Source organism: Homo sapiens, chromosome 2 (assembly GCF_000001405.40).
Source record: "Homo sapiens chromosome 2, GRCh38.p14 Primary Assembly".
Taxonomy (NCBI): Eukaryota; Metazoa; Chordata; class Mammalia; order Primates; family Hominidae; genus Homo; species Homo sapiens.
In genome coordinates this window covers 179016415-179040371 of record NC_000002.12, presented here as the reverse complement: position 1 = coordinate 179040371, position 23957 = coordinate 179016415, and the positions used below count along the sequence as shown (strand labels likewise).

Below are 23957 nucleotides of genomic sequence, written 5' to 3'. Positions count from 1 at the left end.
AAAAGAAAGAAGAGGGGTTTCCTTTTCTATGCTCTTTAGAAGACACTGGTTCTAGAATTAAACATCTTGTTCTTTGATGCCCTTCAGGCTATGTGTGGACTAGCCATTTAAGTTCTCTGGACTTTAGGCTTTTTATCTTTAAAATGAGGGAACAGGACAGATCGAAGCTTCATATTTGTTGTGGATCTTACCACAATGTGCCAGTCTCCCTCCCTGCACATGGGTCTAAGAAAATGAGGTCTCAAACCAAAAGATCTTTTACCTTCATCTGGACCTCTAGCCATAACCTCTTAAGGTTCATCTCTCATATTCTCCCCCAACCACTCACCACTTTCAATCCAGCCACTCAGCCCTAACAAACTTTAACTAGTAGTTTTATCATCTAGATATACCTAATTCTAATATTATGAGTCTAGAAAAGAAAAAAATTATCAAGAAGTCTAAAGTCTATTTCAGATTTGCTGACAAAAGACTTTTAAAAATAATGAAAATATAAATTCCATTTCACAAATGGATAGATCATAAATTCAACCAATTTACTAGCTAATATGCTGTCAAGATAGGCACAAACTTAACCTGTAGCAGAAAATTGTTGGATCCAAGTTGGTTTGAATATGAGCTTTTGAAGGATGAGGACATTAGTAGTTCAATAAGCCAATAATACTTAATATTTAATGTTTATTCCAGTCCTTTTTGTATGTACAGGGTCTTGCAATTTGTTCTAATCATAAAGAATGCTGTGAAAATGGCATTGGAAGGGTGTAGGATTCGGTGCTGAGTCAACTCTGATTTGGGCACAACACTTAAGTCTCTCTGGTCTCAGGGTCTTTATTTGAGAAATTAGAATAATAATAACGGTTACCTTCACACACCTAAAAAGAAAATTTGGGTAAGAAATACAATAATATATGGAAGTACATGCTGCTTTTCAAAGAAAAAGTGGCATAATTATTATGTTAATGAGTGTTTCAGAGTAATTTGGTATATTAAATGTTTAATTTAATAGAAAAGCTATTTTCTGCTTTCCACTGAAAATTATCTCAAACCCTAGTAATTTAGATAGACTAAAGAAAAAAATTCCGAAAACTGAGAATTTTTATAAGGGCCTCTAATGTTGGTAATATCTGTACGCTAGAGATCTTATTTTCCCTTCTGCAATGTACTTAATCTTAGTGGAGTGTCCAAAGAAAAAATATTTTCCTGTTTTCAGTGATGAAAATAAAATCAAGTGGAAAAAACTTTAACTCCCAAAAGGCGTCTAGATTTCCAAACCATATTCAAGTCATTTATAATGAAAAAGAAGGATTCCAGAAAAGGCAGATTTAAGCCAGGTAAAGAAGATCTGCCTGTGGCTACTATTGACATTACATCCTCAGGTGAGGTGCAGAGTGTTAAAGGAGGAAAAAAGGTTGGAAATTCCTTAGGGAAGTTGCCAAGAATGTTCTTCTTAACATCTGACTTTCCATTACATTGCTATTGTCTAGGGGAATTATGACTGTAAGAGTCAAGAAAACCTCCTGGGCACTGGCAACTGTATTTGCAGTTGGCATTCAGTGAAGAATGACCCTTTAGAGTGGTAAAACACTGGAAAATTTCACCTCTAATTTGACTCTCATAAATTTACTGGTTTCCTCTTCTGACTAAATCTCCAATTCAGGGAATGCTTATTTTTGCCCTATTTCTATTTTCTGTGCTAGAAATGAATGTACTATAAATAGAATATATTAGTAGTAAAACTAAAAGTCTTACAAAAACTTACCTTAAATAAGAGATAGTGAGGTTTTCTGGTGTTCGTCTGAAATATTTACTAAGAATGCATTTAGAAAATATTTTTATTATGGTAAAACATACATAACATATAATTTGCCATTTTATTCATTTTATATGTACAATTCAGTGGCATTAATTACATTCACAATGTTGTGCAACCATCACCACTATGTATTTCCAAAACTTTCTCATCACCCCAAACAGAAACTCAGTACCCAGTAAAAAAATAACTCTAATTATTACTTCCACTGGTAAGCTCTAATCCACTTTCTGTCTCTATGAATTTGTCTATTCTAGGTACCCCATATAAATGGAATCACACAATATTTGTCCTTTTGTGCCTGACTTATTTCACTTAGCATATGATGTTTTCAAGGTTCACCCATTTTGCAGCATGTATCAGACCTTCATTCCTTTTTGAATAATGAATAATAATCCATTGTAATGACATGCTACATTTTGTTTATTCATTCATCTGTCAATAGACACTTGAGTTGTTTCCACTTTTTGGCCCTTATGAATGCTGCTACAATGAACATTGGTGTACGAGTATCTGTTTGAGTATCTGTTTTCAATTCTTTTGAATATATATGTAGGAGTGAAATTGCTGGGTCCTGTGCTGGGTATTTCTGTTTTTAGTGTTTTGAGGAAACACCAAAATATTTTCCGCAGCAACTGCATCAACTTTTGTTCCCACCAACATTATATGTGTTCCGATTGGTCCACGTCTTGTCCATAACTTGTTGTTTCTTGTTTGTTTCTTTTTTAAAAAGTCATAGCCATCCTATTAGGTGTGAAGTGATATGTTATTGTGGTTTTAATTTGTATTTCCCTAAAGTGGATGATGTTGAGCATCTTTTCATGTGCTTATTGGCCAGTGTATATCTTTTTTGGTGAAATATCTATTCAAATCCTTTGTCCACTTTTAAAGCACGTTGTTTGGATTTTCTGTTGTTGAGTTGTAGAAGTTCTTTTTATATTTTAGATATTAATGCCTTATCAGATACATGATTTACAAATATCTTCTGCCATTCTGTAGGCTGCTTCTCATTTTCTTGATGATATTCTTTAAGAATGTATTCCAAAGCTGCGTGACTCGAATTATTTATACTTACATATTAGAGGAAATTTCATAGCATGTGTGTTGTGAATGTGAAGAAACACTTTCAGACAGTGTTAGAAGAGGACTAACCTGTTTCACATTACCTATGTCATAGCAGTGTTTTTCTCTAAATGCTTAGTTTATACAGGAGCCACTTTATCTCTTTCCCTGTGCTCCTGTTGACCCACGCCTTCAAGAATTTACTCTCTCAGAAGTGTTAGGGAAGATGTTTCCACTTATATCTCCTCACTTTCTCTTTCCTACACAAGTAGGGAGGCCTGTGTCACCTGACTGGTGAGACTGGGGAAGCCTCAAGGGCTCTTTCCACAGATCCACTGAACTATGGGTTGCAGGTTCTCTTCTCTCTCTGTTTCTCCTCACCTGGCCAGATGTCCCCACTTGGCAGACACAGGCCAGAGTCCCACCTAGGGCAGCTAGTTATGTATCTGTGCCTCAGATCCACCTGTCTCCACAGGGAGGTTCTATGGGATAGGTTACAGGGAGAAAATGCAGAAATGCAAATCAACCCCATCCTCCAGTCCAGCTTTACCAGTAATAACAGCATATATTCTTATCCTTCCCTCACCCTGATTTCTATTTCTCAGTTGATTCAGAATCTTGAAGAGAAAGGAGTGAGATCAATTGGCACCTTCCAAATTCAAACACGTATTGATCTGTGTTTGAAATGGATGGTGTTCTCATCTTCTATGTATGTAAAGTTCTGGCCTTATTTTGCATGGAGCATTTTGAAGAAGGTGACTGGAACAACATGGGAACAATGCCAGAATTGTGGTCTAGTGGGAATTAGTCAGTGCTTTAATTTCTCTTTTAGGGTTTTGAAAATGGAGAACTTTTTCCACTAAAAAATGAAAATAGTGTTCTCACAACTATGAGGCAGCACAACTTCCTGGTGACTTTCCCTGCCTCGCTTGGCACTTCCTTGTTTATACAGTGTTTCTTTCCCTGGTTCATTTCCAGTGACTAGAAGGGAGCAGTGCAGTGGTCCAAGGGGCTTAAGTTTAAATAGCATTCTTTACATTTGAAAAGTGCCTTGGCCGATTCTGTAAAACATAGTTTTCACAAGTGGATGTGAGACATGTTGATTTAAGAGAGTCTACGGTGTCCATTAAAATAGGCTTCTTCAACATGGAGTTAGGGCACATAATATTCCGGATATCACACATAATTTGTTACCGGTTCAGGTTGAGCAGGAGTTTAGAGTATGACCATAACCAATGAAGTGTTGATGGGAGTTGATTTACCAAAGGGGCAAGAATTCTGGAAGGAGAGAATTTTGTAGGCAGAGACTGAAGAGTAAGAAAATTTAGAAAAGACACTCCTGACCTCGGCCCTGTCCTGGCCCAGGAATCAAGGTTGGACTTCTTAGCAGAGGCTGATGGGCCTTTGAAAAAGATGAGGCACACGCCATACTCCTTTGTTGCTGGAACACCAAATGACACAGAGTGGGCAAAAAAGAGAGGTGTCCTCCATATTTCTGCAAGGAACAGAACCTGGCTTGGTTATAGTGAATACTGTCAACTCTTTTGGCAACTTTGAAAAGACCCAGTACTCAGGAATATTATGGTAGATGAAAGATGGCTACTAATTCTTTGAAATGTCTCCTCCTGAGAAGTGGGATCTATGTCCCTTCCCTTAAAATTGGAGACTCTGTGACTGTTTAGAGTAATATGATGATGCTGTGCCATATTCTGGGCCCCAGCCTCAAGAGACTGGCTGCTTTTACTTCCTGAAACTTGGAATTGTAACTCTGGGAACCCACCCACCTTGTGAGGAAGTCAAACAGCACTGTAGAGAAGCCCATGTTGAGGAGAACTGAGGCTCCCAGGTAACAGCTTTGGCTGAAATCCAACAGTCAATCAACTTCCAGTCATGTGAATGAGCCACCTTGGAAGTAGATTCTCCAGTCCCAGTTGAGCCTCCCAGCTGACTTGCATGGGGCAGAGACAGGCCTTTTCCACTGAGTCCTGCCCAAATTGAGAATCATGAACAAAGTAAATGGTTGCTATTCCAGGCTACTAGAATTTGGGGTGGTGTGTTACACAGCCACAACTGGAACAGAGTGCAAATACAGAAGGAGCACCCTATAGGGACTTTGAAGGCAGTGCTTATAAATGAAAAGGCACAGGCAGAAGAAAACAAGAGTTTTTATGGGAAGACAGTGGATAAGTGGAACTGAGTTTCTCTAACGTGAAAGATGGGGTGATAATCCTAATGATAAATAAAAAGAAAATTCTGAATTTATGAGAGGTTTTCTTTATGAAGAATGAATGAGGACAGATTCAAAGATATGACTATCATAATGTTAGACTGTTTGACCTGCATTCTGATATAGTTTCTTGATAGACAGAAAAATGTTGTAGTTATAATTCAGCACACAGAGATCTACACAAACTATTATGGGTATATTGTGGAAAATAGGGTATTTAGTTCTTCCAGGAAAACCTTGACAGAAAAACTGATATTTGAACTGTCCTGGAGATGAATATGAGTTTTCCAGAACCCATAGACTAATTTAATGGACAAACAATAGATAGGGAGAAAAATATTTGCAATTTACGTGGAAATCAAATGGTTATAATCCTTCATATTGATAAGAAATACAAATAAAATCAATAAAAATGGACTATTTACAAAAGAGAAATACATTTCCAGTAAACATTTAAGAAGATCAACATCAGAATTACCTGAGAAATGAAACAATCATTAAAAAGATACACCATTATTTGCCTAATATACCATTATGAATTCAAAATATCAATAACATCCAATGATGGTAAGAATGCGAGGAAAGACTGGTTGAGACTTTGGACTGACACAACCTTTTGGAAACCGGAAAGCATTCAAATGTAAAATGCATGCATTCTGTGATCTACTAGCTTCACCTCCAGGAAACTATCCTTGGAAATGAAAGCACTCATAGAGATATTGATATAAAGATGCTTTTGCTCTCATATTGACCATGTTTTCACATTTTTTAAAACTTAAGTTCAGAGGTACACGTGCAGGTTTGCTCTTTAGGGAAGCTTGTGTTATGGAGGTTTGTTGTACAGATTATTTCATCATCCAAGTATTCAGCCTAGCACCCTACTAGTTGTTTTTCCTGATCCTCTCATTCCTCCCACCCTCTACCCTCCATTAGGACCCAATGTCTGTTGTTCCCCTCCATGTGTCCATTTCCATCTGTCATCATGTAGCTCCCACTTACAAGTGAGAACACGCAAAATTTGGTTTTCTGTTCCTCCTTTAGTTTGCTAAGGATAATGGCCTCCAGCTCCATCTATGTCACTGCAAAGGACATTATCTCATTCTTTTTTATTGCTGCATAGTATTCCATGGTGTTTATATACCACATTTTCTTTATTCAGTGTACCACTGATGGGCATTTAGGTTGATTCCATGTCTTTGCTATTGTGAATAGTGCCGCAATGAACATATGTGTTTTTAGTAGAACAACTTAACTAGAAACAAAACAATATATAATAACAGGAGAAATAAAGTTTTAAATTAGTAATTTATGCTTTTTTCATACTGTGAAATATTATGCTGAGCCCCAGGCTTCTTACTTGTGACATAGATAAATTCAGAAGTTTAAGCCAGTGTTGGTTGGGCTTTATGTTATTTGTCACTAAAAACATTTCTATTTGAAAGGCCAGGATCATAGCTAGCATTTTTGAAATCATAGGCCTGTAGTCTCCAGCTATTAATTTTCTATTTAGAAGGTAGTCCTTTAAAATATAAACCTACAAACAAAATTTTTTCATGGAAAATAGAACCCATAGTTCTTATTAGTATGACAAAAAGGTTCTAGGTCTGAGATTTAGACAGACAGGACAAAACTCTGACAGTTCAATATAAATGAAAATGACAGAGATAAAGTGGACACAGAATCCATCCATCCCCTACTCCCAGTCTTCAATATGTCTGAGTAAGATTAAATATTAGGATAAAAATATACTTTTGTATTCTGTCCAGAAGGTAACAGATCTTTCTACTCTAGAAAAGACATAAAATTGTCTCTCAGTACCTGTGTGGGATTGGTTCCAGGATCTCTGAAGATATCAAAATTCACTGATGCTCAAGTCCCTTTTATAAAATGGCATAGTATTTGCAATATAAGCTATGCACATCCCCCTTTATACTTTAAATCATCTATAGATGACTTACAATATATAAAATAATGTAAACATTATGCAAATATCATAGCACATTGGTTTCATATTTGTATTAATTTTTGTTATGTTATTTCTTTCTGAATATTTTTATACATGGTTTATCAAATCTGTGGATGTGGATGTGAAGAACCAACTGTCCATATGTATTGGACTTAGCCTAGAATGAGAGCATTTTCTTTTCTTTTGTTTTGGTTTGTCTGTGTGTTTTAAGTCCACTATGACTTCTGCCTGATTAGCCTTAGCCAGAATGCATCTTTTCTAAACTATAGACTTTATAATATATATAATATTATATATTATATATATATATAATATTCTGAGATATATAATAATGTATAAATGTGTAAAACACTAGAGATTTCAAGTGGCATGGCTATGTCATTCTCATGACAAGTTCATCTAGCTATTACTCTTCTGGAGAATAAAGCAAACTTCTGACTCTATGATTAGCCCTGTTCTCCAAATTTTCTGTGTCCTCCATCTCCTTGCTACCATATATTTGAAACTTAGGTCCTTGAGCGAAATTAGAATTTTTGTCTTTTTTACTGGTTCTAGTACCAGGAAAGATGAAATGATCATCCTCCACCCTGTCTCCACTAACTGCAACTATAAACCCAGGTGGAATACATGTATGACAAGGATGATGAAGAGTTAATGCCGGCAGATAGATTAGGGGAAAGGATTAGAAATCCAAATACCACCAAACCAGCAGTGTTTTCATATGTCCTTGCTCTGGTATTTCCCGGTTGAATTCAAAGACAAACTGACACCCTGATATACGTACCAGATGTGGACAGAAAAAGTTCCAGAAAAGCCCTCTCTTTTAGTTGTGAGCAGAGGAAAAAGGATCCAAGGGTCAGAGAGGGAGAGGGAAAATCCCTTGCTTTTGTTTTTTGCTTTTTGTGTTTCTATTGTCTCTGCCTCAGTCCAAGCCACCACCACCCCCATCCCCAAATGGCAGTCGTGATAGTGAAAGTGGAAGCAACCAGGCAGATGCCTAAACCTCCAAGAGAGGGGAAAACTGGCCAGAAGATCAATGGTCCCAGAGCTTGGAATGAATTCACATTGCTTTTTTTCTCTCCCCATCCTTTCTGCTGCTTGGTCCTACAGGTGCCATGAGAGGATGTGCACAGCAGAGTGAGGAACCTAAAGCCCCTGCTTTAATGCCAGAGAACCAGTAAGGGGGGTTTCCAGGGTACAAATTTCAGGCACTGAGTCAAGCCAGTAAAGTGGGAAGACAGAGAAGGTGAGAGAGCAGTCTCACCTTTCAGCTCTATAACTCATATTGTATAGATGGTTCTGTGATTTTTTTTAAAAGTAAGTTTAACTACTCTGTCAGTAGACAGGAAACTCTGAAGAACCACAAGCTCTCAAATTCAGTTTCATAAGACATGTTTTGCACTTTAACAGCCAACTCAAAACCCATCCTAAGTATTTCCGTAGTTGAAACTGGAGAAACCCAAACCACCCAAGGCTATTGCTGACTGCTTTGAGTGCCTGAGATTCTTAGGTTCAGTGATACCATAGGCTATTAAACTTTTATTAACATGTTGAAAAGAAAACACTTTGCTAGTGTGTCATACTTCTTGGAGCAGCAATAAATAGAAATGCATAAGACAAGCCACAAATGTCAGCTGCATATGTAATTTAAATTTTTTGGTACTCCATATATGAATTCTGGAGCATTAAATGTTTACATTACAAAAGAATAAATGTCTCAAATTGATGATCTAAGCTTTTCCCTTAAGGAACTAGAAAAATAAGAGTAAATTAAAGCCAGAGCAAGCAGAATGATGGAAAAAATGAAGATAAAAGCAGAAATCAATGAAATTGAAAATAGTAAACCAACAGGGAAAATCAGTAAGAACAAAAGCTGGTTTTTTGAAATGCTTTCTCAGCCAGACTGAGAAAGGAAAGAAAGAGGGCAAAAATTATTAATATTAGGCGTAAAAGATGGGTATCACTATAAACCCCACAGATATTAAAAGCATAATAAAGGAATACTATGAACAACTCTGTGCACATATTCAACACTTAGATGAAAGAAACCAAACCCTTAAAAATCATAAGCTACGAAAACTACTCAAGAAGAAAAAAAAAAACAAGTGAAAATAATTTAATAATATGTTTAATTTATCCCAATATATATAAATATTATCTCTTAGCATCTAATCTTTATAAATTGAGATAGTTTAGTCTTTTTTATATTAAAACTTCAAAGTCCTGTATACACTTTATACTCATAGCACATCAGAATTTGAACAAGTCATTTTTCAGGTGGCTAGTGGCCCTCTATATTGGGTAATGCAGATTTAGAGAATAAAGAAGACTAAATCTTTTGGGAATGAAAATAGTTCATTTTTTTAGCCCAGGAAAAGCCTGCTTACCAAACTAATGCATACAGAGCCTGAAAACGAAAATTGTGAGATGAGATTTATTTCAAGGATAAGAAAAGAAAGAAAACCAGGCCAAATTATTTCTAGTAGCAAATGTTTGAAGGCAATTAATAAAGCAGTATTATTAGACACTGTCATAGGATGAGTAGGAATATTTTTCCTAATGTCATATTTTCAAAAATAGGTATGTGTGTAAATTTATTTGTATATGTATGTAGTAACTATTCCAATTATTTTACTTAGAAAAGTAATTTCTTTAAAATGAATGAATTATATAAGCATTTTGCAACAATGAAATGAAAATATACTAATCCAGTTTGAAAGGCTAGCAGTAAAAGACAGTAATTAAATGGTGAATTGTCTGTTTACAAATTCTGGGAGCATTAATGCACATTTCACTAATAATATTATATGTAATTAATTTGTTGTTCAGTGTTCATCCATTGCTCAAATATTGCTCAGTGGATTTTTTATGGTTATGTTTCTTAATGATAACAACACGGGAGGCCAAATGCAATTCAGATTCTAAAAATAGCTAAAAGGATTTTGTTAATATGCCATAGTTAGTTTTGCTTAATGTTGGTTAACGGGTCATTAAAGATTGTGTATTTTGTTACTTGAGTGACGAATGCATAATACAAAGCAAGAATTTGCTTTCTGTTAGCATATTTGGAAAATGAATTAACTTAAAAATTGTTTTTGGTATTAATTTATTTATAAATATTTCACATATGACTAATTTTCATTTGTGGTTGTAGATGACAGCCTAAGTTCTGAATAACAAGCAAAGGGGGAGATATATATGTTATTTAAGAATATGATCTCTAATAACTTCAGTGTTCTATCAGTGTTTATAGCCATTTAATGTATTGTGCTTAGAGAAGAGAGAATCATGCTCTGGATATTACATATACAAATGGGATAAAGATTTAAATCTCTGGTAAAGCCTGTTCTCCAGGACTAAGCAAGACACCTGGAAAAAGTATTGGATAATTAATCAAGATTAGAAAGACAAAAAATTATAAATTGTGGATTTTCTTTTTCTTCCAAGAACAGAAAACTTTCTATATCACCTGAGACTTAGAACTGGCCTGCAAAAAGGGTTAGTTAAGCACAGGGATATCAAACAACATTTTCAACCCTGAAATTTCCATCATAACCCATTTATTAGTTATTGTAAGTGATTCCTTTTAATAAATCATGTTTATACTTCTAACCAAAAATCCCAGCTAAGCTTGCAAATAGGATTTTGTTGTAATTCCTAGAATGTTCATGATTAACTTATGGATCCAATATGTAACTATGGGACACCCTCTGTGTATCCAGCTCAGAGTTGGTACACAAAGGATTGTGGATATGAAATATTGCAAAATAAAGTTTTTACCCCCTTGAAAAACTTATAGAAGCAATAATGGTTACTATCTATGAATCATCTACTATATGCCAGTCATTGTATTAGATGCATTAGATATTTAATCTTTAAATTAACCTTGTGAGATAGGAAATATTTTCATTTCACAGATGATTAAACAAATTCAGAAGTGGCTATGCCCAAGTCCCACAATGGCCTACAATACTATTAGTCATTGCTACTCTAACTTATTTAAAGAGGTATTATTAATATTTAAAATACAATCATGGCAAGATAATATATGGAAGACTATATACAAAATGCTGACAGATGGCTCATAGTCATCAGCCCAAGAGAGGGAAGTATTTATTTGGATCTCAAAAGAAGTGATGGGTAAAGATTAGGAATCAGACTGGCATTCCAGATTAGAGTACAGGATTAGCAAATATCCTGAGATATTTGGCTGAGACAAATATAAGCAAAATACACATGGGGCACATGAAGATCTCTGTCAGCAAATATGAGATGAGGCTACATTGTTATGGAGAATAGGGGCTGGGGCTGAATGGCAGTACCCACCGGGCTACACAGTTAGATTTGATTGTGGCCAAGAGTGGGTTTTTAAAGCGGGGGTAGATTTAACAAAATAGAGTTTTACGAAGGTTGCCTTTATAACTATATGTGGGATGGACTTGAATGGGAAATTTGGGGAGTTAAAATAAGTATTTGGAGACTATTAATAGACGTTGGAATTTAGACTGGGGTTTTGAGTGAGAGTGAACAGGATAAAATTTTAAAGGTTTTGTTATAGCAACATAGTATATTTCTATAATATATTTTGATAAAGTAATGAATTATAAAGAATATATTTTAGAATCAATAATTTTACATAGATAGTGAGGGAAAAGTTGAAGATAATCCCAAACCTTAAATCCTATAGGATAAGAAAAACAGATATCCCACTGGTATTATTACATGATTGCCAAAGGGTACCATTTTGAATCAGAATGTCCTTTATATTGGCAGATTGGAGGTCACTGACATAATTTGCTAAAATAGTTTCAGGGGAGCAGTGGTGCTGGATCCAAAGTTGCAATTGTTTAATGAACAAATGTAAAGAGAAAAATCTGCAGTAGTAAGGGTAAACTGTTGTTCCACTGAAGCAAATGGAAGATGCTGACTGCGAAGCTTTTGTTAGTATGGGAGAGATGAGGGTTCAGGAAATGAGCAGACTGCACTTATAAAGTATAGTGTGAGTGTTAGTGAAGAGTTCATTTGCTATGAATCTGAATTTCCATGAGATACAGTTGTGAAGTTTGGAAGGAAGGGAAGCAGTGATAGGAAGATTATAAAGCAGACAGATGACCAGTTCTTAGGTGAACAAAAACAGGAGGAATGTAAGGCAAGGTGGAGTTACCAGCCTTGTAATGCCCAGTGCTCATAGTGGAATTGATCTCATGGTATCCTGGGTGGGAAGTCTGGGATGGTGACTTCTTGATCCAGTATTCTCAGTCTGATGACTGTTTCTAGGCAGTTCAGGAAACCATGAGAGGAAAGGAGGTGAAAATGAACAATCTTATCTTGCATGTTCTCACCTATAAGTGGGAGCTAAACATTGAGTACACATGGATGCAAAGAAGGGAACAACAAACACCAGGGCTAATTTTGGGTGAACAATGGGATGAGGGTGTATTAGCTAGTTTTCACGCTGTTGATAAAGACATACCAAGACTGGGCAGTTTACAAAAGAAAGAGGTTTAATGGACTTACTGTTCCACATGGTTGGGGAGGCCTCACAATCATGGTGGAAGGCAAGGAGGAACAAGTCACATCTTACATGGATGGCAGCAGACAGAGAGAGAGCTTGTGCAGGGAAACTTTTTTTTTTTTTTTTTTTTTTTTTTTTTTTTTTTGAGAGTAAGAGTCTCACTCTGTTGCCCAGGCTGGAGTGCAATGGCACGATCTTGGCTCACTGCGACCTCCACCTCCCGGGTTCATGCCATTCTCCTGCCTCAGCCTCCCAAGTAGCTGGGACTACAGGCACCCGCCACCATGCCCAGCTATTTTTTTTGTATTTTTAGTAGAGACAGGGTTTCACCGTGTTAGCCAGGATGGTCTTGATCTCCTGACCTTGTGATCCGCCCGCCTCAGCCTCCCAAAATGCTGGGATTACAGGCGTGAGCCACCATGCCTGGCCGGAAACTCTCATTTTTAAAAGCATCCAATCTCATGAGACTCATTCACTATCATGAGAACAGTGCAGGAAAGACCTGCCTTCATAATGCAATCACTTCCCACTGGGTTCCTCCCATGACGTGTGGGAATTGTGGGTGTTACAATTCAAGATAAGATTTGGGTGGGGACACAGCAAATCATGTCATTTCACCCTGGCCCCTAGCAAATCTCATGTCCTCACATTTCAAAACCAATCATGCCTTCCCAACAGTCCCCCAAAGTCTTAACTCATTTCAGTATTAACTCAAAAGTCCACAGTCCAACGTCTCATCTGAGGTGGGGCAAGTCCCTTCACACCTATGGCCTGTAAAATCAAAAGCAATTTAGTTATTTCCTAGATACAATGAAGGTACAGGCATTGGGCAAATACAGCCATTCCAAATGGGAGAAATTGGCCAAAACAAAGGGGCTATAGGCCCCATGCAAGTCCAAAATCCAGCAGGGCAGTCAAATCTTAAAGCTCCATAATAATCTCCTTTGACTCTATGTCTCACCTCCAGGTCATGCTGATGCAAAAGGTGGGTTCCCATGGTCTTTGGCAGCTCCACCCCTGTGGCTTTGCAGGGTTCAGCCTCCCTCCTGGCTGCTTTCATGAGCTGGCATTGTGCGTCTGTGGCTTTTCCAGGTGCGCAGTGCAAGCTGTCAGTGGATCTACCATTCTGGGTCCTGGAGGAGACTGGCACTCTTCTCACAGCTCCACTAGGCACTGCTGCTGGGGGTACTCTGTGTGGGGGCTCTGACCCCACATTTCCCTTCTGCACTGCCCTAGCAGAAGTTCTCTATGAGAGCCCTACCCCTGCAGCAAACTTCTGCCTGGACATCCAGGTGTTTCCATACATCCTCTGAAATCTAGGCAGAGGTTCCCACACCTTAGTTCTTGACTTCTGTGCACTTGTAGGCTCAACATCACATGGAAGATGCCAGGGCTTGAGGCTTGCACCCTCTGAAGCCATGGCCTGAGCTCTATGTTGGCCCCTTTCAGCCATGGCTAGAGTGGTTGGGATGCAGGCCACCAAGTCCCTAGGCTATGCACAGCACAGGAACCCTGGGCCCAGCCCATGAAACCACTTTTTCCTCCTAGGCCTCTGGGCTTGTGATGGAAGGGGCTGCAATGAAGACCTCTGATATGCCTTGGAGACATTTGCTCCATTGTGTGGGAATTAACATTTGGCCCCTCATTACTTATGCAAATTTCTACAGCCAGCTTGAATTTTTCCTCAGAAAATGGGATTTTATTTTCTATCACATTGTCTGGCTGCAAATTTTCCAAACTTTTATGGTCTGCTTCCCTTATAAAACTGAAGGCCTTTAACAGCACCCAATTCATCTCTTGAATGCTTTGTTGCTTAGAAATTTCTTCTGCCAGATACCCTAAATCATCTCTCTTAAGTTCAAAGTTCCACAAATCTCTAGGGCAGGGACAAAATACCACCAATCTCTTTGCTAAAACACAATAAGTTCTCATTTCCATTTGAGACCACCTCAGCCTGGACTTTATTGTCCATATCACTGTGGCATTTTGGACAAAGCCATTCCATAAGTCTCTAGGAAGTTCTAAACTGTCCTACATTTTCCTGTCTTCTTCTGAGCCCTCCAAACTCTTCCAACCCCTGCCTGTTACCTAGTTTCAAAGTTACTTCCACATTTTCAGGCAACTTTTCAGCAATGTCCCACTCTACTGGTACCAATTTACTGTATTAGTCCATTTTCACACTGCTGATAAAGACATACCCAAGACTAGGCAATTTACAAAAGAGAGAGGCTTAATGGACTTACAGTTCCATGTGGCTGGGGAGGCCTCACAATCATGGCAGAAGGCAAGGAGGTGCAAGTCATGTCTTACATGGATGGCAGCAGATGAAGAGAGAGAGAGCTTATGCAGGGCAACTCCCGTTTTAAAACCATCAGATCTCGTGAGAGTCATTCACTATATGAGAACAGCACAGGAAAGACCCACCCCCGTAATTCAGTCACTTCCCACTGGGTTCCTCCCACAACACCTGGGAATTGTGGGAGTTACAATTCAAGATGAGATTTGGGTGGGGAGACAGCCAAACCATATCTGAGGGTGAAGATCAAAAAATTACCTATCAGGCACTATGCTGATTACCTGCGTGACAAAATAATCTGTATCCCGAACCCCTGTGACACACAGTTTACCTATATAACAAACCTGCACATGTATCCCTGATCTTAAAGTAGAAGTTAAAAAAAAAAAGAAAAGAAAAAGAAAATGAACAATCTCTGTAAGGAGCAGTAGAGAAGAGGAAGGAAGGCCTAAGTAGGTGATTCTCAACTGGGCTGGCATCAGAATCAACTGAGGAACTTAAAAAAATAAACCACAGGACTCATATATTCAGGCCCCAAACCCAAAGAGGCAAAGAAAGGCTGGAGTGCCTGTATGTTTTTTTTAAAAAGTTTTTGCAGTAATTCTAAAACACAATGAGGAATAAGAAGCTCTGACTATAACCCAAAGAAACATTTTTCCATTAAACAACAACATTAAAGTGCCATCAATGGAATTGAAAAAGAGACTAATGGAAAGTTAGAGGCAAAAATATTCAGGGTCCCATCACAAACATTTGGAGAAAAGGAAATTCTAACACAGAAGTATTGAGTAGTGTCGAAAACAGCAGTGTGTTTGAGGAAGCTGACGTGAGCTCTGACAATGAGGAAATTATCATTGCTCTCTGAAACCTTCTTGGAGAGCTTGCCACTTACCTTACTGGCCATGACCTCCTCTGAGTACCTTCTATAACTTGCAGCCTACCTACTTCTACTGTAGTATGTGTTTCATGACAGACCATGAGTGTTTCATTTTCATCTTTGTGAGATTGTGGACATATTTCTATCCATAGAGCCTAGCACCATGCTTGGATTACATGTACAACAAATGTTTGTGGAATGAATGAATAAAGGAATGAATGAATGAATACATATATTCATGACATAATCACAGGAACAGTTCATCTCTGTGTAATAACAAAAGAAACATGCGAAAAAGGAATGTGGGTAAAGAAACAAAATAGCAATGATTTAAATGGTATTCACATACCTTGCTGTTCTTGCTTGCAACAGTTCTGAGGGTTTGAAGAAGATTCAATTATTAATGTATGGAACATTTGGGCTCCTAAGAGAACATGGTGGAACGGATGAATAATTAATGCTGTTAGTTTTTCTGATTTGTGTCATTATTCTTCTTTTAACTGAGCCAGAGGATGGATTTCCCTGTAAATTATAGATGTCCTCATTTTGGAATGCCATTATGGCCTCCTGAGCTTTGCCCTCACCTAAGCCGGGCCTGTCTTTCTCTACTGTGTTTCCTCCGAGTTTCTCAACCAATGTCTCATTATGCACAGTACAGTGTCACATTAATGTGGTACTTACACAAGCATGGCCTGTATAATGTATATCAAGCATGGTTTATGAAGTATTTACATTCATATAATCTTGGGTACCTGTTAAAGGGCAGCTCTCCAGACCTCTATGAGATAAGACTCTCTGTGGGTAGAGCAGGGCCATTTGCACTTGGCACCTGCAGCTCCAAGGCTCTTCCTCATCATTTAGCATTGCTTTTAATGTTAGTTTGCTTATATTTTTACATATGTATATATTTCTCATAAGAGTGTAAGTTTTCCTCAGGACAGAGATTGTGTTGGTGCACATTAAGTTCTTTTCAAGATAGTTTTTGTCTAAATTAGTTGTAAGAAATTTAGAGCCCAAGTTGTGATATATGTATAAACATAACACAGTGGACTTTTATTGCATGATTGCTAGTGAGAACCACTTTTAAAAATTTAATATTTAATTTCAAACATTACATATATTTTAAATGTTTTAAATGTATTAATCTGTTTAATATTTAAAAAATCATATGAGTTAAATTTCATAACAGGCAACATAACTTAGCAGTTTTGTATGTATGCTCTGCCTGCCTGGATGTGCATTCCAGTGTTGCTGCTTGGCTGTGTAACTCTGGGGAAGTTACTTATCCTCTTTCTGCCTCAGTTTCCTCATCTGTGAAATGGAGGTAGTAATACCTACCTCAGAAGGTGGATGTGAGGATTTAGTGAGTTGAAACCTTTAAAGAATTTGAAACAAGGCTTCACACATAGTAAGTGCTGAATGATTACCTCTTATTATTTTTAATCTCCATTTTACAATTGAAGAAACTAATACATACACAAGTGTGTATATACAAATGTATATACAGTCATTTGCCCTGGTCATATAGCTAGGAAGCCATGGAGCTGGGGCTCCCACTCCAGTGGTGTGCCTTTGTGCGATTCCCCATACCCAGCATGCTGTGTGCCCTTCAATCATTAACTGTAGTATGAGATCCCACTTATTTGGGGGAGTCATAGGGATGGTACGCGTCACTTCTCAGCTGACTGAAAAGGACCACTCAGTTAGCAATACTGAGGCCGTGGATCTCATAGGATTTGCAGGAACCACGTCACATAGCATCAAGATGGCTCTGCTCCACCTGGCTAGCTTCCCTGTCTACTGTGTGCCTCTGTCCTTGGCATTGGAAGGGACACACACACAAAATGTAAAAGGCATTCTTGGCCTCCAGAAATATATGATGTACAATATATAGAGAACAAAATGACCCTGGTAGACTCACAAAGCAGTTAAATAACAGTGAAGTCACAACATCAAGGCACTATCTGAGTAATTAAGTCCCCAGATGAAAGACACTGATCGTGAAAGTACCATAGACATATTCATGGAGAAAGAGAAATTAATTTAGCTGGAGTGGTTTCATGGGGAAGGTAGAATTTAATACAAGGTTGTGGGAATAAGTGGCGTGAGACGGAACAGTGTTTGGGGCAGGGAAGAGAGCTAGGTCTTCAAGGTAGAAAAGCTGCCTCTTTCCTCGGCTTTGGCTTCATCCTGTGAACAGACGTTAGCTTAGTGCTCGTATTTATTTATCTTTCTGTTTGGTACAAAAACTTCCTATTGTTCTAGCTTTCATCAAGTCTTAGGGAATGTGTTATTCTCTTTGTTGCTATTTTTGTATTTTATTCAAGCATGGTAGAGTTCAGATTCCCCAGTAAAACACACAATGGTATTCTTGATAAGCTTCCAGGACTGTTTTTTCGGTCACTTGAAAGGCCACAGAACTCTGCAAAAAAGGTAGTGAAATCCAAACAAATCCAAGCGTACAGACCACTCCCTCAAACAGCAGAAACTACTATTAATTATTTGGTCCATACACCTGTAGATTATTTCTAATTACATTATTTACTTCATTTAACAGAACAGATATGGAAGAGTCATTTGTACGCAAATATCCAAAAAGAAAAAATTAAGGAGACGCATTTATAAGAATTAATGTTGTAGAGCCTTTTAGATGCATTGAAATGTTTTAAAATACTATCTTTTATTAGGCCTATGCAAAAGAAATATTTTTGGAACAATTATTTTGCAGTAAACTGAGAAGAAAATATCTGATCTGGTTCCATTTACATTATACTTAGTCTCATAATTATAAAGGGACTAAGTTGTAGCTGGCATTTCCATTATAAACAGATTTTATGGTCCTTTAATAAATGGTTCTAGTTTGAAGAGTGACCAAGAAAACACAAATCCTTATTTTTTAAATCCAAATGGACTGATTCAATACAATGTCAGAATTTTCCAAGTTGCTTTTCATAATTTTGTCTCTTTCTGTTACTGTGTATGTCACTGACATTTCCTACTGACGGCAGAACCATTTCATCTTTTACTCATTTGGTTTTAGCACAGGAGCCCCTGAAAATTAAAGAGTTGACACAAGAATTCTCAATTCACTGAGGGCTGTGGTCTAGCTTTCAGTTAGAGGTGATTTCCACTCGGGACAGCTGTGACCCTCAGGTTTTCAGCAGCTCATTAGCTGCAGCTTCTATTTCAAACTGAAGCCAATCAGAATACTAGTTCTGTTATTTGTGTGCCAGTTTGGATTAGGGGCAGCCTATACAAATAGGACAGGGTAACACCCCCTTCAGATAGGCATGGGCAATTAGGTTTGCATAGCTAAAATTAAGTGGTGGTATGTTCATTTCTCTTTCACCAGAAAAAATAGTTGAAGCCAGAAATTCATTATGCCTGTCAGCAGTATGTGTAAACTCAAAATCAAATTCAGCATGGTTTACAACGGAAGGTACAACCTACTTCTTAGTGAAATAAAGGCATAAAATGCCTATAAAAGGAAGTATGTAATTTCCAAAGTATTTATTATCTTATAATTATCTTACATTTTGGTTACTATTAATGATGGTGATTATGCTAAGTTACTAACTTTTATGGAAGACTGAACAGTAGCCAGGTGATGTGCTAACAATCACATGCTAATCAGCCCGCATGTGAGAAAGGATTTGTTATCAACATCAAGGTTTTCCTTACATCCCTGAAATCATACCACGTATTTGCTTATTTATTCCATCAACATTTATGGCTAACCCTAACTGCCATCAGGAAATGTTGAAGCCTGTAGAAATATAAGCATTGCATGTAACTGAGCTGTAACCACTAAAATATCTTCATAGAATCCACATAAAACTAGATTAGAATAATTAACATTACATAAATGCATGCATACTTACTTTAGAGACTGCTTTCATATCATTGTCTCATTTTAGTATATATAATAAGGGCCAGTGTGGTATGGACTCATTTTCACAGGTAAGGGAGCTGAGTCTCAGGGAGATTAAGGGACTTGCTCAGGTTTATTAACTGGCTGAGCTGGGACTCACACTCTGATTAAAATCTCATTTTCATGATCTTTCCATGATGTTGGATCCTGTGGCTTCCTGGCACAAGCTGAGCATGGAAGCCTGCTGCTATCTAGAAATATACACCTGATCCCATGAGAAGTGCTATCATATCACAGCCAACGTGGTCTCATGGGATCAGGTGTATATTTCTAGGTAAGCCTAAGACTGGCCCAGTTCCAGCTTGGAGGATTCTGACATGCAGATCCTTAGTTCCCCTGCGTGGGGCAGTGTTGATCAGCCCAGAGTAGCACTCTGGCACACTGGATAGGAGTGTGGGGACTACATAACTGACAAAGAGTAGGAAAATATTTAGGTAAAATTATGCTTTTGGATTTTAACCCTAAAGCTCCTTACATTGTTGAGTGAGAGAAAAAAAACCACACACCTGTATTTGAAATACACATGCCCGTTCTATGGAACTTTTTGGATTCTACATGACGGTTATAACAGTCTTTATTGCTAATAAATATGAAACTATTTTCTCTTATCTTATCTATCAAATGATCTTTCCAGCTGGGCATAGTGGTCCATGCCTGTAATCCTAGCACTTTGGTAGGCCCAGGTGGTCAGATTGCTTGAGCTCAGGAGTTTGAGACCCACCTGGGCAACATGGTGAAACTCTGTCTCGAAAAATTAGCTGGGCATGGTGATGCATGCCTGTAGTCCCAGCTACTTGGGAGGCTAAGGTAGGAAGATTGCTTGAGCCCAGGAGGTTGAGGCTGCAGTGAGCCATAATCATGCCACTGCGCTCCAGTCTGGGAGACAGAGTGAGATACTGTCTCAATAAAATGAATAAAATAAATAAATAATAAATATTTATAAAAATGATCTTACCATCACCGCAAAATAGACTAAGAGCTATACCAATGTATTGGAACTATGTTGTTTCAACTTTAAAGTCAATATTAATTATTAAAGTGTAGTTTCCTACTATAGAATAATCATTTTACTTTTGATATGAGGCAAAGTGTGAAGTAAAGGGGATAGAAAGGGAAAGAAAATAAAAGCGGTTTATGAGTAGATTTTTCTTTCTGAACACTGCTAAAAGCTTTCCTGTATGAAATAAATATTACGTCATTAAACTAGAATTACTGATACAAGAAGTGATGTGCAGTAAGTATTGAGCAATCAAAGGGTACAATAGTGAGACCCTGGTGTTGATATGTCTTCACATGAATGCTTCTCTCTCATCATTAGTGTTCTGCATAGATGAAATAACGATTATGGGAGTCTTCTTTTTTTTTATAAATATAAAGGTGCTTCACTTATCAGCAACGTAGACCGTGAATATATTTTGTTGATTCCTGGAGTCTTCAGGGAGATGCATCAAGATGATAGAAATATTTGGAAATATATTAAGTATTTGGATTTGGATAAATGTTGGGAACCAAAAAGACTTTCGTCTCCTAATATAATATTGGCTTGCTGGACTTTGGAACATTGGCTCAGTGGACACAGTTTTATTTTTGAGCAACCAAATGGTAATTAACACTGACAAAAAGCAATGCTCTGAACTTGGAGCTGTGGGTGTCCAAAGAAGAGGGCCATGGTCTGGCTTTTGGGAAATTATAATCAAATGGAAATTGGATTTTTATTTTTGTTTTTTAATATTTGCTTTTAAAGAATTATCTGAAACATATTTCATTGACTTATCTTTTCTGAATATGAATTTTAGAACATTGATTTGTACTTTTTTTGCTACTTACCTTTTTCACTAACTTCATATTGTATTTAAAAAGAAATATTATACTGTCCAATAAGTACAAAAATGAGTGACACTGTTCTTGCTCTCGCCTAGTTTGTAATCTACAGAATTTAAAACTAGCTCACTCACAATTGTACCAAAGAGTGAAACATAACAACCACATTAGGAAGGTGGAAAGAAAGTGACAAAGGAGCCCACAGGAAGGAGTTACTTTTTGCTGCTATGGAGAGAAGGGTTTCATGGAGAAGGCAGCATTGTAATTGGGACTTGAAGGCTCACAGGTTTTAGATAGGCAGATGCTAAAGTGTAGAACATTCTAGCTAAAATCCTTCAGAAAAACAACAGCAAAAGCTAAAAGAAATTTGTGACATTATTTGAAAGAGACTGAAAAAATAATAGAACTTAACCATTTACTGTTCCCCAAGTTTTTAAAAATTTGTGTTCTTTACTTTTAAGTGTCTTAAATTAATTACCTCCAGTTTAGTGGTAAAACTAAGTGCGTTTCTATAAACTAGAGACTCTACCTGTATCCCACAGTTTATGTTACAGATAGACTCCAGTGTCAGGAAAACATGCAGGATATGCCACATATGTTTGCTCTTTTAGAAAATTGCTATTCAGGGGACCATTTAACACTCTACTGAAGAGAAAGTCCATAATCCTTTTTTGTGGTCCGCATAGCAGTTGAGGTGGTGCAACGTCTATAAAATGGGCTGTCCTTAAAAGTAGCAATTTCAAAGCCACACTTAAAAAGACAGAGTGCATTTTTCAAGTATTGCAGCACAGCCTTGGTTTCCTATCCTTTTGGAAGCAAAAGGGAAGTAGTGTCTTTTAGCATTTCTTTAAATAACCAGCTTTATGATGTTGGCCAGAACATCTTTTTCTCAGATCCAATTCCAAAATATTTTCCTTAGTTTAATGACTAAGCAAGTAGGAGAGGAAAACTTAAATCAAGCTGGGCTTGACTGAGTCTTGAGGCAAGCCATTTTTCATGGGCTGCTCTTCTTATAAGTGCCATACCTCATCGTCAACACAAAGTCTGCTTACACTGTAAACTGGGCATTCCATTTTGTTCCCTTAAACAACTAGTTTTAAAAAATGTTATTATTGCTGATGTCAGTTTATCTAAGGGCTTTATTTGGTAACTGCCCTGATTTTTAAAAAATATCTGAGAATATGTGTTCTTTTTCAAGGTAAGGACAAAAATTGATTTTTTTATACTTTGCAAATAGATTGAAGTGTATTTTTTCACCTCAGACAGTGTCTAATTTTCTTTTAGGATAGTTTGTGTAAACTAGCTGCCACTTTCTTCAAGTTTAAAGATGGCACCAACAAGAAGAGAGAGCTTTATTACTCTTTAAAACAGGGGAATGAGGATTTAAGGAAGGGCACAGAAATGATTTGAAAGGTGGGAACCCAGTGTGCTTAACTCCCAAGGAACAGAAAAGAAGGGCTATCACCCACCCCAGATACACCCCTATAAAGCATCTTTCTTCAAAAATCAGATGTAAGTAAGAAGTGGAAGCTCATTTGTAAGATGGGCTTCTTTAGTTTACAATAGAATGGTGTGGTTCCTTAACACAGGTGTCTCTATCAAAAGATAGAACTATAAGTATTATTTTTTTTCAAAAGTCAACTATTATTCAGAAAGAAAGAAAGATGTGGAGAACATTGGATAAACAGGCCACCAGTATGCACTTTCTTTTGTTGTAAATAATTATTTAAAAGTTCAAAATATCTGGATAAAGTAGAAAATTTGATAATCATAACTTACAAATATTCGTGCTGTATGAAAATAAAATCTGCCAAATGAATAGATTAATACATTTTTGTGTGTGGGAAATCTCCCTCCTCTATTAAAAAAATAAGAAGAAAAAGAAAAAACACTTCTTGAAGCATGGTGACCCACATAGGGAATATATTTTGTATCAAATATTTGCCTGGGGACCAATTCACCCAAACTTCAGCATACGTAGCACCTTTTACCCTTCAGAAATATGAAGTCTCAGCAGTTCATAAAGCCCAGCCTACTCTGCTCTTTACCATCCACCCTGATGCCAAACCTCACCTTCCAACCTCAACCAGAATTCCACTTGTTTTCCACTAGGTAAAATTAACCAGGGAAATAAGAAATAAGTACATTCTTAAAAAAAGAAAGAAGTTTATTCTTGCTTATGCATCGAAAGGTATCAAGACATCAGTGTGTCATTCCTACCACTTATCAGTTCACTCAATAGTTAGTAAAAGCATACTCTGTGTCAGGTACTGGGTTAGATTCGATCAATACAACTATGATTATGACGTGACTCCTGTACTCTAGAAGCTTATGTGAAGATGGACCATTCTTAGCAACTTTTTATTTTGAAAAATTTCAGACCTGCAGAAATCCTTCACTTAGATTTACTAACTGTTAATGCTGTTGCATATTTTCTTTCTCTTTCTCATCT

The 23957-nt window shown here is 37.3% G+C and overlaps 1 protein-coding gene across 20 annotated transcripts in view, besides 2 other annotated features; it reads left to right on the top strand.

The window, feature by feature from the left end:
• Positions 1–23957, top strand: part of CCDC141 (coiled-coil domain containing 141) — a 235160-nt gene that overhangs the window by 9766 nt on the left and 201437 nt on the right. The gene's annotated exons all lie outside the window — the stretch shown is intronic.
• Positions 7992–8071: an enhancer, noted in NCBI's record as "active region_16814". NCBI's record gives its function as "activates an Ori minimal core promoter by ATAC-STARR-seq in GM12878 lymphoblastoid cells {active_cell/tissue: GM12878}" and the evidence as "EXISTENCE:reporter gene assay evidence [ECO:0000049][PMID:35858748]".
• Positions 8252–8331: an enhancer, noted in NCBI's record as "active region_16813". NCBI's record gives its function as "activates an Ori minimal core promoter by ATAC-STARR-seq in GM12878 lymphoblastoid cells {active_cell/tissue: GM12878}" and the evidence as "EXISTENCE:reporter gene assay evidence [ECO:0000049][PMID:35858748]".